The sequence below is a fragment of the Homo sapiens genome, chromosome 3, assembly GCF_000001405.40.
Source record: "Homo sapiens chromosome 3, GRCh38.p14 Primary Assembly".
Taxonomy (NCBI): domain Eukaryota; kingdom Metazoa; phylum Chordata; class Mammalia; order Primates; family Hominidae; genus Homo; species Homo sapiens.
The window spans coordinates 52,942,163-52,960,223 of NC_000003.12; the positions used below are offsets into that span (position 1 = coordinate 52,942,163).

General features: G+C 40.6%; 1 protein-coding gene across 1 annotated transcript in view; it reads right to left on the reverse strand.

The window, feature by feature from the left end:
• Nucleotides 1-18,061, reverse strand: part of SFMBT1 (Scm like with four mbt domains 1) — a 142,502-nt gene that overhangs the window by 38,591 nt on the left and 85,850 nt on the right. Inside the window, exons 3-4 of the mRNA NM_016329.4 lie at nt 12,155-12,249; nt 1,191-1,431 (exon numbers count right to left, since the gene is read on the reverse strand). Coding sequence (NP_057413.2) covers nt 1,191-1,431; nt 12,155-12,249 — 336 coding nt within the window. The remainder of the gene's footprint in view (nt 1-1,190; nt 1,432-12,154; nt 12,250-18,061) is intronic.

The following is an 18,061-nucleotide window of genomic DNA, read 5'->3' on the forward strand; positions in this document are numbered from 1 at the left end:
ACAATGTTCCTTTTAAAAAACTGAGTACTATCTGTAAACAGTATTGTATCAAAGTTAATTTCCTCATTTTCATATTTTACTGTAACATGAATACCTTGTTTTTAGAAATACATACAGTATTTTTGAATAAAAGGGCATCATGTCTAAAACTGACTCTCATGTGGTTCATTAAAAGAACATGAGTAAAGCAGTGGAGACAAGATAAAGTAAACATCATATATGTCACCATTAACAACATTTGGAAACACTTGGCAAAAAGTCTCCAATAATTTTCCATATGATTCTCATAACTTTTTGGTAAATCTGAAATTATATCAAAGTAAGAAGTTAAAAGAAAAATACCAAAAGTCTGGTATTTTCTTTCTTTTGAGACAGAATCTCACTCTGTCACCCAGGCTGGAGTGCAGTGGCGCGATCTCGGCTCAATGCAACGGCCGCCTCCTGGGTTCAAGTGATTCTCCTGCCTCAGCCTCCTGAGTAGCTGGAATTATAGTTGTGAGCCACCACACCCAGCTAATTGTTTTGTATTTTTAGTAGAGACGGGGTTTTGCCATGTTGGCCAGGCTGGTCTCGAACTCCTGACCTCAGGTGATCCAGCCGCCTCAGCCTCCCAAAGTGGTGCCATTACAGGCATGGGCCACCCCGCCCAGACAACTCACGTATTTTCTTAAATCCGGAGTCCTCTTATCTTTCCCCACCTTTATCTCACCCTTCTCTTTCTTTTGCCTTTATTGTCTCTCTTCTGCTTAATTTGGTTTTTACTCCTTCTGGAATGGTGCTTGATTTAGTTCATTTAAGAGTTCCTAGTTACCAGATTGCTTGAGGGTATGAGGAGAGAGGACAATAAAAACAAAAGAAAATCAACAGCACATCAGTCTGGCCCAACGGGCTTAAAAACAACCAGATCTACAAATCTCAAACTCAGAGAACCTCACAGTCTGAAAGGATGATATGCAGCTAGTGTTCCCTATGAGCATCATAAAAACCTGAGGCTTTATGTAGCAAAGAAAATAATTTTAAAAGACAGGGAAATGTGTATTATTCCTTATAAATATTTTCACTCAAAATGCTAACCTAGAAAAGCTGGGTAAACCTATATGCTCGAGAGACTTAAAACCTCAAGACTGTGGACAATCCAAATTTTCTTACAGTAAAATCACGTCACGTCTTGATAGGAAGTATTTCATTACCTTCTGGGGCTTCAAGGGTCTTCTTATTCTGCTCACACCACCCAATGGGGTAGAGATCAGCCTTCCTGATGTCACACCAGAAATCTGCTCTCCGATCCTCCCCATAGCCATCATAGCGGAGAAGGAGCAACTGCTCACAGGTAGTGATAACGGTGGCAACCCAGTAGGTCTCAGGATCTGTTCTCACAGCCACCTCCAGCTTCATCCCAGGAGCAAATCCATTTTGCAAACGTGTGTCCACCTTAACAGGGAAATGTTATTAAGCACCAGACAAGTATCTTAAATGAGTATTTCTTTGACCAATGTTCTTTTTTAAGACTTACAATTCCGAAGCACTAAATGCAATAACATCTCAAGGAAAGCCTGAGAAATTCCAATTCTAACTTACAGAAGCAATCCAGATAAAACAAACGAATAGCAATGCTGCTCTGTTCCATCTGACAATGAAGGAACTCAATATTTTCACCAAAGCAGTCTATTATGATTACAGAAAATGCTTCCTATTAAGTATATAAATTACTAGTCACCATTTTAATAGCTTTCAACACATTGTTTACAAGAATGATTTCTGCATCAACCAACAGGAAATTTATGATGCTAGAAAAGTGAGAAGACAAAAATAAACCATAATGATAATAAATTAGTACAATATGTACCATATACAGGGAGCCATATTTCCCAGTTTCCCTAAAAGTCTATGTTTCCACCAATTACTCTTAAATAATAATTAATAACATCCCCCCTTTCCCTCTCAAAAGTGTTCTAATTTAGATGAAACATTATATGGTCACAAAGGTCTGGGTTAGCAAATCTGGAACTATTAATACTTTATGTGTATACTAACATTAAATAAATATACTATGAATAATAAGAGCCAGGTTTCTCACCATGGGAAAAAGAAGTGACAAATAAGCAAAGGGAAGCCTGTGGTGTTGGACTGGAATCAGATGCATCTGAACAGGGACATGATGATGGATTGGTAGGCAGATAGAGACAGACAGACAGGCAGATAGATGGATGGATGGATGGATAAAGAAATGAACGAATAATAGAGATGGAGACAACCATACACATGTATTTCCCAACTCTGTGAATTGAGAGGGACTAGAAATAATGACATGTAGTCACAGTAAGCAAATATAGTGTACAAATTTTGATTTCTTTCTTTTCTTTTTTATTTTTTTGAGACAAAGTTTCGCTCTGTTCACCCAGGCTGGAGTGCAATGGCGTGATCTCGGCTTACCGCAACCTCTGCCTCCTGGGTACAAGCGATTTTCCTGCCTCAGCCTCCTGAGTAGTTGGGGTTACAGGCGCCCGCCACAACATCCAGCTAATTTTTTGTATTTTTAGTAGAGATGGGGTTTCACCATGTTGGCCAGGCTGGTCTTGAACTACTGACCTCAGGTGATCCACCCACCTCAGCCTCCCAAAGTGTTGGGATTACAGGCGTGAGCCACCAGGCCCGGCCTCTTTTTTATTTTTTTAGACAGGGACTGGCTCTGTCACCCACACTAAAGTGCAGTGGTGCAATCTCGGCTCACTGCAACCTCAAGTCATCCTCCCACATCAGCCTCCTGAGTAGCTGAGACCCCAGATGTGCGCCACCATGCCTTGTTAATTTTTGTATTTTCTGTAGAGACGGGGTTTTGCCATGTTGCCCAGGCTGGTCTCAAATTCCCGATCTCAAGCAATCTGCCCATCTTGGCCTCCCAAAGTGCTGAGATTACAGTCATGAACCACTGTGCCTGGCCCAAATTTTGATTTCCAAATACCACCTTCCAATTAAAAAAAAAAAAAAACAAGGACTTCAGGGAAAAAAGCTTATTCCGATTCTGGGATAGGAAAAATACAATTAGAGCCTGGAATATCTTGTGATGCCAGAAAGTAAGGAAATGATCAAAAAATTATGGGAGTATGTTGAAGGAACATACAAGACAACTAGAAGGATCTCACTGGCTACATCTGGGACAATTTGAGCAATAAAATAAATAGTGAGAGTAATGCATTATAACTAATAGATTTAAATAAGTATCCATGAGTCCACACTGATATAAATTAGGGGAGAGGGGACAGATCTTCCTTAGAGTAGAAAACCAGTTAATAAATATTGAAAAAAAAAGATGGAAATAGAAAATCACTAGTAGACAAACATCACAGAAATAAACATTGCAAGAGCCGGGCGCGGTGGCTCACATCTGTAATCCCAGTACTTTGGGAGGCCGAGGCAGGTGGATCACGAGGTCAGGAGATCGAGACCATCCTGGCTAACACAGTGAAACCGTCTCTACTAAAAACACAAAAAAAATTAGCCAAGCATGGTGGCGGGCGCCTGTAGTCCCAGCTACTCAGGAGACAAAGGCAGGAGAATGGCATGAACCCGGGAGGCGGAGCTTGCAGTGAGCCGAGATCGCACCACGGCAGGCAATCCAGCCTGGGCAACAGAGCGAGACTCCATCTCAAAAAAAAAAAAAAGAAAAAAAGAGATAAACATTGCAGGCAAGAATTATTGATGGACTCTAAAATACTATGATGAGAAACAGGATATCTGCAAAATCTCAAAGGTTCTCCCAGTAAGATTCTTATTAACTTCAAAGGGGAAAACAGCAACATTACAGTGAAAAAATCTGGCAGATGCCACGTAACTAACCAATCAAAGTTTGCATCAGTATCATGCAGCCTTGATTTCATACAAGTTAACTGCAATATCATTCCTACAACATTATTACCAAATCTGCACAAATTCAATCCAATCATGAGAAAAAAACAAATCCAAATTGAGGAATATTCCACAAATAGTTGACATGCAATATAGGCTCATCAAAAGTGTCAAGTCCATAAAAGACAAAGAAAGAACGAGGAACTGTCATATACCAGAGAAGACTATGAAGACATGACAAATAAATGCAATATGGCAACCACAGCCACTGGAAAATGCAAGTGGAATCCTGGAGACAGCCAGAGAGGGAAAGTCCCACATTCTGTGTAAAAAGTCCTCCCCCGCTAGTCACTACCTGTTCTATCACTATCCTAAACACTATGGTTATATTGACTATGTTTCCACACTATGTTAATGAAATTATGCGGTATGAATATTTTTTGAGTGGAGCTTCTCTTGTCGAACATTACTTACGAGATTTATTCATGCTGTTGCATGTAACAGTAGCTTACTTCTTTTCACTACTGTGTAGTATTCCACTATATGAATATGTCACAATTTATTCATTCCACTTCTACTAGTTACTAGCTATTTGGGCAGTTCACAGTTTTGGGAAGCTACAAATAATGATGCCATAAACATTTTTGCTTGTCCCTTGGTACATACATACATGAATTTCTAAAATACATAACAACCAAACTGTTTTCCAAAGAAGTTGTACCAATTTAGTTTCCCAATAGCATATGAGAAATCCTTTTGCTCCATTCCTTTTTTTTTTTTTGAGACAGAGTCTTACTCTGTCACCCAGGCTGGACTGCAGTGGAGTGATCTCGGCTCACTGCAAACTCCACCTTTCAGGTTCAAGTGATTCTCATGCCTCAGCCTCCCAAGTAGCTGGGACCACAGGCACGTGCCACCACACCTGGTTGATTTTTGTATTTTTTGTAGCAACAAGGTTTCACCATATTGGCCAGGCTGGTCTCTAACTCTGGGCCTCAAGCGATCCACCTGCCTCAGCCTCCTAAAGTGCTGGGATTACAGGCGTGAGTCACCACGCCTGGCTCCTTTTGCTCCACTCTAACCAACATTTTTCTATTTTCAGTCTTTTTCACTTTTTTTTTTTTTTTGAGACAAAGTCTCACTCTGTCGCACAGGCTGGAGTGCAGTGGCGTCATCTCTGCTCACTGCAAGCTCCGCCTCCCAGGTTCACGCCATTCTCCTGCCTCAGCCTCCCAAATAGCTGGGACTACAGATACCCGCCACCAAGCCCGGCTAATTTTCTGTATTTTTAGTAGAGACCGGGTTTCACCGTGTTGGCCAGGATGGTCTCGATCTCCTGACCTTGTGATCCGCCCGCCTCGGCCTCCCAAAGTGCTGGGATTACAGGCGTGAGCCACCGCGCCCAGCCCCTTTTTTCACTTTTAACCATTTTGGAAGGTGTGTCATGTATCTTATTGTAATTTTAATTTGTATGATCTGATTATTAATCAAGTTGACAACCTTTATATTTATTAGTCATTTAGATTTCTTTTGGGAAATGCTTAAGTTCCTTACCCATTTTTAAATTCAGTCTATATTGTGGGCATCAGTTCTTTGACAGTTGTGTTGCAAACATTTTTCTCATTTTCACTATGATGTCTTTTGATAAACAGAAGTTCTTAAATTTATTGTAGTCTAATTTATCAATATTTTTCCTTTAAAAAGGTAGTGATTTTCTATATATGTATTTTTTTTTTTTTTCCTCGAGACAGCGTCTCCTTCTGTCGCCCAGGCTGGAGTGCAGTGGCGCGATCTCAGCTCACTGCAACCTCTGCCTCCCGGGCTCAAGTGATTCTCCTGCCTCAGTCTCCCAAGCAGCTGGGACTACAGGCATGCACCACCATGCCTGGCTAAGTTTTGTATTTTTAGTAGAGATGGGGTTTCACCATGTTGTCTAGGCTGCTCTCGAACTCCTGACCTCAAGCAATCCGCCTGCCTCGGCCTCCCGAAGTGCTGGGATTATAGGCGTGAGACACCGCACCCAGCTGCTTTTTCTGTATTTTTAAACAAATCTTTTCCTATCTTTAAAGGTCATAAGGATCATAAACTATATTATTATCTAGGAGCTATCATATTTAGAACTAACATACACCTGGAATTAATGAAGTTAATATGAAGTTAAATATGGGTAAGGGTTTATTTGTTTCAACATGTGTACACAATTAAACCAGCACTTTTCCCGACCACTATAAGTCATCAACTTTGTAATAATCAAGTGTCCCTACAAAAGTGGATCTGTTTCTGATTTACTTTTCCTTAAAGTAGCACTATACTATCTTAATTAAACTTGATATCTAGTACAGCAAGTCTTCTCATTTTGTCTTATTCTTTAGGTGTGTCTGGCTACCCTTGATCCACGATATATCCATATAAAAATCAGAATCAGCTTGTCAATTTCTACCTAAAATTTTATATATATGTACTTTTTGAAATTTAATTTGTTTGCAGTAAATCTACAGACCTAGTTAGGGAAAACTGGTATCTTTACAATAGTGACTCTCTCATTACATGAACAAGGTGTATCCCTTCATGTATAATGGTCTTTATTTTACATCAGTAATGAATTGGAGTTGCCTTACAATTATTATTATTATTATTATTATTGTTATTATTATTTTTGGAGACCGAGTCTCTCATTCTGCCGCCCAGGCTGATGTACAGCGGCACAATCTCGGGTCACTGCAACCTCTGTCTCCTGGGCTCAAAGGATCCCCCCACCCCAGCCTCTGATGTAGCTAGGATTACAGGTGTGCTCCACCATGCCTGGCTAATTTTTAATTTTTTTTTTTTTTTTTTTTTGTAGAAAAGGTCTCACTATATTGCCCAGGCTGGTCTCGCATTCCTGGGCTCAAGCAATTCTCCCACCTTGGCTCCCAAAGTGCTGGGATTACAGGTGTGAGCCACTGCACCCAGCATCCTTGCAATTTTTTTTACATTTAATCCTAGACATTTTATGTTTCTGATGTTACTGCATTTTCATTTAGTTCCAAATATTTCAAAGTTTCCCGAGACCGCTTCTTTTATCCGTGTTATTCACAAGTGTGTTGTTTAATCTCTAAGTAACTAGGGACTTTCCAGCTATCTTTCTGTTATTGATTTCTAGTTTAATTTCACTGTGGTTTGAGAGCACACTGTATGATTTATATTATTTTAAATTTGTTAAGGTGTGCTTTATGGGCCTGGGTGTGGTCTATCTTTGTGAATGTTCCATGTGAGCTTGAGAAGAATGTATCTTCTGCTGTTGTTGAAGTAGTCTATAGATGTCCATTATATCCAGTTGATTGATGGTATTGCAGAGCTCAACAATGTCCTTACTAATTTTCTGCCTGCTGGATCTGTCCATTTTCGATAGGAGGGCGTTGAATTTCCCGACTAATAATATTGAATCCATTTGTTTCTCCATGCAGTTCTACCAGGTTTTGACTTGCGTATTTTTACATTCTGTTGTTAGATGCATACATTTTAAGGACTGTTACGTCTTCTTGAAGAACTGACCCCTTTATTATTATGTAATGTCCTTCTTTTTTTTTTTTTTTTTTTTTTTTTTTGAGACCGAGTTTCACTCTTGTTGCCCAAGCTGGAGTGCAGTGGCATGATCTCGGCTCACCGCAACCTCCGCCTCCTAGATTCAAGCGATTCTCCTGCCTGAGCCTTCCTGAGTAGCTGGGATTACAGGCATGCACCACCACGCCTGGCTAATTTTGTATTTTTAGTAGAAACAGGGTTTCTCCATGTTGGTCAGACTGGTCTTGAACTCCCGACCTCAAATGATGCACTCATCTCGGCCTCCCAAAGTGCTGGGATTACAGGCGTAATGTCCTAACATTCCTTGCTTTGAAGTCAGCTCTGTCTGACATTAATACAGCTAGGTCTTTTTTTTGTTAGTGTTAGCATGGTATATCTTTCTCCATCCATTTACTTTTAACCTATATGTCTCTTTATATTTAAAGTGCTTTTATTATAGACAACATATAGTTGGGTCATATTTTTTGATCCACTCTGATAATCTCCATCTTTTTAACAGTGCATTTAGACCACTGACATTCAAAGTGATTACTGATATAGTTGGATTAATATCTACCATATATGTTAGTGTTTTCTATTTGTTGCCTTCTTCTTTGTTTCCATTTTGTCTTTCACTCTTTATCTGCCTTCTGTGGTTTTAAACAGGCATTTTATATTATTCCACTTTGCCTTCTTAGCATATTATATTTCTTTTAACTGTTTTTAGTAGTTGCCCTAGAGTTTACAATATACATTTAAACTAATCCAAATCCAATTTGTGATTTTAAAAAACCCTTATAATAACAATTCTAATTCTGCCATTTCTTCCCCTGTATCATTGCTACCATTTATATATGTAAGCATGCCTTAGCATATATTTATACATAAGCATACATAATCAAATAAATTGTTGCTGTCATTACTTTTTTTGTTTGTGTTTTGAGATGGAGTCTCGCTCTGTTGCCCAGGCTGGAGTGCAATGGCGCAATCTCAGCTCACTGCAACCTCCGCCTCCCAGATTCAAGCAATTCTCCCGTCTCAGCCTCCCAAGCAGCTGGAATTACAGGCACCCACCATCATGCCTGTCTAATTTTTGTATTTTTGTAGAGACAAGGTTTCACCATGTCGGCCAGGCTGGTCTTGAACTCCTGACCTCAGGTGATCCACCCGCCATGGCCTCCCAAAGTGCTGGGATTACAGGCGTGAGCCACCGTGCCCGGCTGCTGTCATTATTTTGAATAAACTGTTATATGTTCCCTCAATAAAGAATAAGAAATATTAGGCCAGGCATGGTGGCTCATGGCATAATCCCAGCATTTTGGGAGGCCAAGGCAGGAGGTTCCCTTGAGGCAAGGAGTTCAAAACCAGCCTGGGCAACATAGCAAGACCCATCTCTACCAAAATATATATATATTTTTTTAAGTTAGTCAAGCATGGTGGTGGGTGTCTGTAGTCTCAGCTACTCTGGAGGCTGAGGCAGGAGGACTGCTTGAGCCTGAAGCTGCAGTGAGCTAGGATCACACCACTGCACTCCAGTCTGGGCAACAGAGCAAGACTCTTATCTTAAAAAAAAAAAAAAAAGAAAAATCCAAGGTTTTCTTTTACATTTTAAAATTCCTTCTCCAAAAAAAAAAAAAAAAACACACATTCCTTCTCTAACACTCTTTTTTCCTTCCTCAGAAACCATGCAAGCAAGGATAGAGAGGACTGAAATAGTTAAGGCATTTAAAGCAAAAAGCCACTAATTTAGAGCTGTGTATCAAGCAAAATTATCCTTAAAAAGTACTAAAGATTTTCTCAGGCAAACAAAAATTAAGGGATTCTGTCACCAGTAGACCTGTCTTGCAAGAAATATTAAAAGAAATTCTTTTTTTTTTTTTTTGAGATGGCATTTTGCTCTTGTTGCCCAGGCTGGAGTGCAGTGGCATGATCTTGGCTCACTGCAACCTCCGCCTCTTGGGTTCAAGTGATTCTCCTGCCTCAGCCTCCTGAGTAGCTGGGATTACAGGTGCTTGCTACGACTGGCTAATTTTTGTATTTTTAGTAGAGAAGGGGTTTCATCATGTTGGCCAGGCTGGTCTCGAACTTCTGACCTCAGGTGATCTGGGCCGAATTAAATGAATAGGTTGGGCTATTTAACTGCAGCAGGAACATGCCCTTAAAGACACAGATTGCTCATGCTTTAGTTTGTGTCTAAAGAATGCCTTTAAGCGGTTTTCTGCCCTGGGCGGGCCAGGTGTTCCTTGCCCTCATTCCCATAAACCCACAACCTTCCAGCTTGGGCGTTAGGGCCATTATAGACATGTTACAGTGCTGCAGAGATTTTATTTATGGCCAGTTTTGGGGCCAGTTTATGGCCAGACTTTGAGGGGCTTGCTCCCAACAATGCAATATGAAATAAAATCCTTATCTGAAATATGTAATTCTCACCACTTTAAGAGAGATATAAATGAACAAAGAATAATCAAAAAGGGCAGCTAACATGACTGAGTTTTTACACACGGAAAACTAAAAATAGTGGGACTCGCTGTGCATGGTGGCTCACGCCTGTAATCCCAGCACTTTGGGAGGCTGAGGCGGGCGGATCACGAGGTCAGGAGATCGAGACCATCCTGGCTAACACGGTGAAACCCCATCTCTACTAAAAATACAAAAAATTGGCCGGGTGTGATGGCGGGCGCCTGCAGTCCCAGCTACTCGGGAGGCTGAGGCAGGAGAATGGCAGGACTCTTTAGCATATAAAGACAACAGCTAAAAGAATATGGTTTATATTCACAGACAACACTGACTGTGCATCAGTGTCTTCACAAATCCTAGAACAAAAGAAGTATGCCCTACTGAACATTGCTATGGGCTAAACTGTTCACCCCAAAATTTGTATGTTCAAACCCTAAGCTCCAGTATGACTGTTTGGATATAGGCCCTTTATGAAGGTTGTCTTAGTCCATCTGGGGTGCTACACCAAAATATCTTAGGCTGGAAAATGTATAAACAACAGAAATTTACTGCTCACAATTCTGGAGGCTGGAAAGTCCAAGATGAAGGCCCCAGGGGATTCAGAATCTGGTGAGGGTTCACTTTCTGCTTCAAAGATGGTGCCTTCTTGCTGTCTTCACATGGTGGAAGTTGAGCAAACAAGCTCTCTCAAGCCTCCTTTATAATGGTGCTAATCCCATTCATGAGAAAAAACCTTTATGGCCGAATCACCTCTCCAAGGCCCCACCTCTTCATACCAACGCAATGGGGATTAGGTTTCAACATATAAATTTTGGGAGGGCACAAACATTTAGAGGTCATAAGGATGGAGCCCTGATCTAACAGAATTGGTTCTTCTTCCTTTAAGAAGAGACACCACAGAACTCTTACTGTTTCTACCATGTGAAGACACAGCAAGGTGGCAACTATCTGCAAGCCAGAAAGAGGGCCCTCACCAGAAAGCAGCTACACACCTAGGCTTTCAGTCTCCATAACTGTGAGAAGATAAATGTCAGTTGTTTAAGCCACCTAGTCTATGATATTTTGTTATGGCAGCCCAAGCAGACTATGACAAATATGAAATAAGTAGTTTTAGAATTAATTATTCTGTGTGTTTTAAGAGGGAGTTTGAGTAAACAGGTTAAAAACTAGGTCTAGGATGGGCACAGTAGCTCACGCCTGTAATCCCAGCACTCTGGGAGGCCAAGGCAGGAAGATTGTTTAAGCCCAGGAGTTTAAGACTGGCCGACATGGTGAAACACCATCTCTACTAAAAATTAGCTGGGTGTGGTGGTGTACACCTGTAGTCCCAGTTACTTAAGAGGCTGAGGTGGGAGGGTCACCTGAGCCCAGGGGGTTGAGGCTGCAGTGAGCTATGATGGGCGATGGAGTGAGACACTGACCCCCTACCCCCCTCACCAAAAAAAAAACCTAGGTCTAGATATAAATTATAAACAAAATTTGGGGTACTTTCTTACATTCTAAAGTCATTACACAGGGCAAATATGTTGTCATTGACAAGGCATTAAACTGGGTTGTTAGGGCATAAAACCAGGCTGCACAGGCCACTAATATGACATGTAAATATGCATGTCATACTTATGTTCTGCTCAGTAAGAGTGACAGCAAATAATGCTATTGAAATTACTTTCAATGAATGCAACAAAGTAAATGTAACAAAGTACAATAATTTTTTTCAATTTATGACAAGGTTTTTTGACAAAAGTAAAGGAATATTCATAAATGGTCAAAAAGATAAGTCATGCATTGAGTAGCAGAAAATACACAAAACCAAAAAGGATTTTAGAATATGGCAAGTGTGACCAGGCACAGTGGCTCATGCCTGTAATCCCAGCACTTTGGGAGGCTGAGGTGGGAGGATCACGCGGTCAGGAGATCGAGACCATCCTGGCAATGGTGAAACCCCATCTCTACTAAAAGTACAAAAAATAGCCGGGCGTGGTGGCAGGCGCCTGTAGTCCCAGCTACTCGGGAGGCTGAGGCAGGAGAATGGCGTGAACCCGGGAGGCGGAGCTTGCAGTGAGCCAAGATCGTGCCACTGCACTCCAGCCTGGGCGACAAAGCGAGACTCCATCTCAAAAAAAAATAAAAAAATAAAAAAATAAAGAATATGGCAAGTGTTCTTACTAAGGGTGGCAGGAGGAAAGAAAAAGCTCTTAAATTACTTCAAGTACCACAAATTAAAATAACTTTAAATTCTCTAATGATAATACAGAGATTCGAAATAAAGGGATATAACACCAGTAAGGCAAATATAGTTATTGCTTACATGTTTAAAAGACCCATAGGGAACTGCTGTGGACCCTGTTTCTTCTAGATAATCTTCCCAGCTTAATTCTACCTCTTCCATACCAGAGCCGGCATCTAGAATTAAAAATAAAACAAAAACAGGTGAATCCCAATTAAAGAAAACTCAAGGTATAAAAATATAAACTTAATAAACCTAACTTTACAGAATTTACTTCACAACTGATTTTGCACAAAAGAATTAAGTGGGGTTTTGTTTTGTTTTGTTTTTGTTTTTTAAATGATAGGTGCCCTTAGTGCACTGATTGTCAACGAATCTTCACAGAACAGCAGTTTGACATGCTATCTCTTGCTGAAGAGGCACCCAAATCTAGAGTTCACCCAAATGGATCACATAAAACTGGTAGGAGTATAAACCATTACTATCACTTTGGACTGAAATTTAGTATTCTAATGTCAAACATTGAAGACACTTAATAAGCATTTCAAACTTAAATTTTCAACTTGATCCTTTCTTAGTACTCTCAGAGTGAAAGATACTCCTAGTAAATATTTTACCTTAATAAAAAAAAAAAAGTGTCATTATCCTTGCCCCCCTCCCTTTTTCTCCATACCTTATATCCAATCCATAGAAGAATTCTGTAGGTACTATCTTCAAAATATATCCAAAAGCTAGAAAGATCTCCTAACGTCACGACTAAATCAACTAGAGAACCAAGAGCAAACAAACCCCAAAGCTAGCAGGAGACCAGAAATAATCAAGATCAGAATAGAACTGAAGGAGATAGAGACACGAAAAACCCTTCAAAAAAATAAACAAATACAGGCACTGGTTTTTTGAAAAAATTAATAAAATACCTGTAATCCCAGCACTTTGGGAGGCTGAGGTGGGCAGATCACTTGAGGTCAAGAGTTCAAGACCAGCCTGGCCAACATGGTGAAACCCCGTCTCTACTAAAAATAAAAAAATTAGCCAGGCATGGTGGCACATGCCTGTAATCCCAGCTACTCAGGAGACTGAGTCAGGAGAACTGCTTGAACCCAGGAGGCAGAGGTTGCAGTGAGCCGAGATCGTGCCAGTGCACTCCAGCCTGGGTGACGGAGCGAGACTCTATCTCAAAAATAAATAAATAAATAAATAAATAATAAAATAGAACACTAACTAGACTAATAAAGAAGAAAAAAGAGAAAAATCACATGGACACAATAAAAAATGATAAAGGAGATATCACCACCAATCCCACAGAAATACAAACAACCATCAGAGAATACTATAAATACTTCTATGCAAATAAACTAGAAAATTTACAAGAAATGGATAAATTCCTGGACACATACACCCTCCCAAGACTGAACCAGGAAGAAGTTGAATCCCTGAATAGACCAATAATGAGTTCTCAAATTGAGGCAGTAATGAACAGCCTACCAACCAAAAAAAGCTCAGGACAGATGGATTCACAGCACATTTCTACCAGAGATACAAAGAAGAGTTGGTATCATTTCTTCTAAAACTATTCCAAAAAACTGAAAATGAGGCACTCCTCCCTAACTCACTTTATGAGGCCAGCATCATCCTGATACCAAAACCTGTCAGAGAAACAACAACAAAAAATAAAACTTCAGGCCAATATTCCTGATGAACATCAATGCAAAAATCCTCAATAAAATACTGGCAAACAGAATGCAGAAGCACATCAGAAAGCTTATCTACCACAATTACGTAGGCTTCATCCCTGAAATGCAAGGCTGGTTCAACAGACGCAAATCAATAAACGTAGTTCATCACATAAACAGAACTAAAGATAAAAACCACATGATTATCTCAAAAGACACAGAAAAGCCTTTGAAAAAATTCAACATCCCTTCATGTTAAAAACTCTCAGTAGGCTGGGCGTGGTAGCTCACGCCTGTAATCCCAGCACTGTGGGAGACCGCGGCAGGCAGATCACGAGGTCAAGAGATGGAGACCATCCTGGCCAATGTGGTGAAACCCCGTCTCTACTAAAAATACAAAAATTAGCTGGGTGTGGCGGCACGCACCTGTAGTCCCAGCTACTCGGGAGGCTGAGGCAGGAGAATTGCTTGAACCTGGGAAGCAGAGGTTGCAGTGAGCTGAGATCACGCCACTGCACTCCAGCCTGGTGATGGAGCGAGGCACTGTCTCAAAAATAAATAAATACAATAGGCTGGGTGCAGTGGCTCACGTCTGTAATCCCAGCACTTTGGAAGGCCGAGGCTGGTGGACGACAAGGTCAGGAGTTTGAGACCAGCCTGGCCAACATGGTGAAATCCCATCTCTACCAAAAATACAAAAAAATTAGCCGGGTGTGGTGGCGTGCGCTTATAGTCCCAGCTACTCAGGAGGCTGAGAGAGAAGAATCACTTGAACCGGGGAGGTGGAGGTTGCCGTGAGCCGAGGTTGCGCCACTGCACTCCAGGCTGGGCGACAGAGCGAGATTCCATCTCAAAAAATCAATAAATAAAATAAAATAAAAACTCTCAATAAACTAGGTATTGATGGAACATATCTCAAAATAATAAGAGCCATTTATGACAAACCCACAGCCAATATCATACTGAATGGGCAAAAGCTGGAGGCATTCCCCTTGAAAACTAGCACAAGACAAGGATGCCCTCTATCACCACTCCTATTAAACATAGTATTGGAAGTTCTCACTGGGGCAATCAGGCAAGAGAGAGTGATAAAGGGTATTCAAATAGGAAGAGAGGAAGTCAAACTGTCTGTTTGCAGGTGACATGATCCTATATCTAGAAAACCCCATCGCTTCAGCCCAAAAGCTTCTTAAGCTGAGAAGTAACTTCCGCAAAAATCTCACGATACAAAATCAATGTGCAAAACTCACAAGCATTCCTATACGCCAACAACAGACAAGCAGAAAGCCAAATCATGAATGAACTTCCATTCACAATTGCTACAGAGAATAAAATACCTAAGAATACAGTTAACAAGGGAAGTGAAAGACCCCTTCAAGGAGAACTACAAACCACTGCTCGAGGAAATGAGAGAGGACACAAACAAATGGAAAAACATTCCATGCTCACAGACAGAAAGAATCAAAATATCATGAAAATGGTCATACTACCCAAAGTAATTTATAGATTCAATACTATTCCCATTAAACTACCACTGACATTCTTCACAGAATTAGAAACAAATTTCACAGGAAACCAAAAAAGAGCCTGTATAGCCAAGACAATCCTAAGCAAAAAGAACAAAGGTGAAGGCATAGCCCTACCTGACTTCAAACTATACTACAAGCCTCAAAACAGCATGATACTTGTACAAAAACAGACATCCAGACCAATGGAACAGAATAGAGAACTCAGAAATAAGATTGCACATCTACAACCATCTGATTTTCAACAAACCTGACAAAAACAAGCACTGAGGAAAGGATTCCCTATTTAATAAATGGTGCTGGGAGAACTGACTAAGCCATAAGCAGAAAATTGAAACTGGGATTCCTTCCTTACACCTAATACAAAAATTAACTCAAGATGCATTAAAGACTTAAATGTAAAACCCAAAATTATACAAACCCTAGAAGAAAATCTAGGCACTAACATTCAAGGCATAGGCATGAGCAAAGATTTCATGACAAAAACGTCAAAAGCAATTGCAACAAAAGCAAAAATTGACAAACGGGATCTAATTAAACTAAAGAGCTTCTGCATAGCAAAAGAAACAATCACCAGAGCGAACAGACAACCTAAAGAATGGGAGAACATTTCTGTAATCTCTCCATCTGACAAAGGTATAATACCCAGAATCTACAAGGAACTTAAACAAATTTACAAGAAAAAACCCAACAACCCCATTAAAAAGCGGACAAAGGACATGAACAGACACCTTACAAAAGAAGACATTTATGTGGGCAACAAACATAAAAAAAAGCTCAACATCACTGATGATTAGAGAAATGCAAATCAAAACCACAATGAGATACCATCTCACGCCAGTCAGAATGATGATTATTAAAAAGCCAAGAAACAGGCTGGGCAGGGTGGCTCATGCCTGTAATCCCAGCACTTTGGGAGGCCGCGGCAGGCGGACCACTTGAGGTCAGGAATTCAAGACCAGCCTGGCTAACATGGTGAAACCCCATCTCTACTAAAAATACAAAAATTAGCCAGGCGTGGTGGCGTGTGCCTGTAATCCCATCTACTCAGGAGGCTGAGGCAGGAGAATCTCTTGAACCTGGGAGGCGGAGGTGGCAGTGAGCAGAGATCACACCACTGCACTCCAGCCTGGGTGACAGAGTGAGACTCTGTCTCAAAAAAAATAAATTAAATTAAAAAGTCAAGAAACAACAGATGCTGTTGAGGCTGCAGAGAAATAGGAACACTTTTACACTGTTGGTGGGAATGTAAATTAGTTCAGCCATTGTGGAAGACAGTGTGCCAATTCCTCAAAGACCTGGAACCAGAAATACCATTTGACCCAGCAATCCCATTACTGGGTATCTACCCAAAGGAATATAAATCATTCTATTATGAAGATACATGCACATGTATGTTCACGGCAGTACTATTCTCAATAGCAAAGACATGGAATCAACCCAAATGCCCATCAACAATAGACTGGATAAAGAAAACCTGGTACATATACACCATGGAATACTATGCAGCCATAAAAAGGAACGAGATAATGTCCTTTGCAGGGACATGGATGGAGCTGGAACCCATTATCTTCAGCAAACTAACACAGCAACAGAAAAGCAAACCCTACATGTTCTCACTTATAAGTGGGAGCTGAACAATGTGAAAACATGGACACATCGGGGGGAAAAGCATACATTGGGGCCTGTCAAGGGGGACGGGGGAGGGAGAGCATCAGGAAAAACAGTTAATGTATACTGGGCTTAATACCTAGGTGATGAGTTGATAGGTGCAGCAAATCACCATGGCACATGTTTACCCATGTAACAAACCTGCACATCCTGCACATGTATCCCGGAAATTAAAAACAAACAAAAAACATATTTCAAATCGAATCACTTCCCACCATATCTACTGGCTATCTCTAGTCCAAGGTCTAACCACAATATCTTCCACCTTTCAATTACACTTAAAATCTAAAATCTGTGGGACACTACAAAGGCCGTACATGACCTGATCCCTGGCTGCCTACCCTACCACTTTATCCCCAGCCAGACTCTCCAGGCTCACCACACTCGGGTGACAATGAGGTTCCTGCCATTCTTTAATCATACTCTTTCTACAAACCCTCTACATTTGCTATCCCTCAACTCAAAGAATCATCTCCCAGTGTCCTTCATGCTCCATTTCATTCAAGTCTCTACTCAAATGTTCGTCTTCAGAAAGGCAACAGTATCCATCTTTAGGCTCTGCTTCCCTTTTCTTTATGGCATTCATTCCTATTGACAATATACCTGTTAGATCATAAACTCCATAAAGTCAGGAATTTGCCACCTAGATTCTTACAATACTCTTGTTAAGTGAGCCAAGACTCAAATACTCTATAATCCAATAATCTCACTTCACATAAACTCCCTAAGAGCAGGGATGGTTGTTTTGTTGTTGTTGTTGTTGTTGTTGTTCATTGACGTATTCCTTCAGAACAATGCTTGTTATATAGAAGACTCTCAATAAACTGCTGAATGAGTACACCCTAGGGGAAACCATACTCCACATGACCACAAGGAGGTAAATATAAGGATGTTCATCACAGCAGCATTTGTAATATCAACAAACTGGAAGCAGTAAGTAGAATAGATAAGTTATGGCAACCCTTCAATGGAATACTACTACACAGCAGTTGAAATGAATGCTAGCGTTGACACAGATAAGTCTCAAAAACACACATCAAGCAGAAAAGGCAAGTGCAGAATGAAAAGCACAGCTAGGTTTCAAAACAAAACTTTGCAGTGTAATGTTTATGAATACA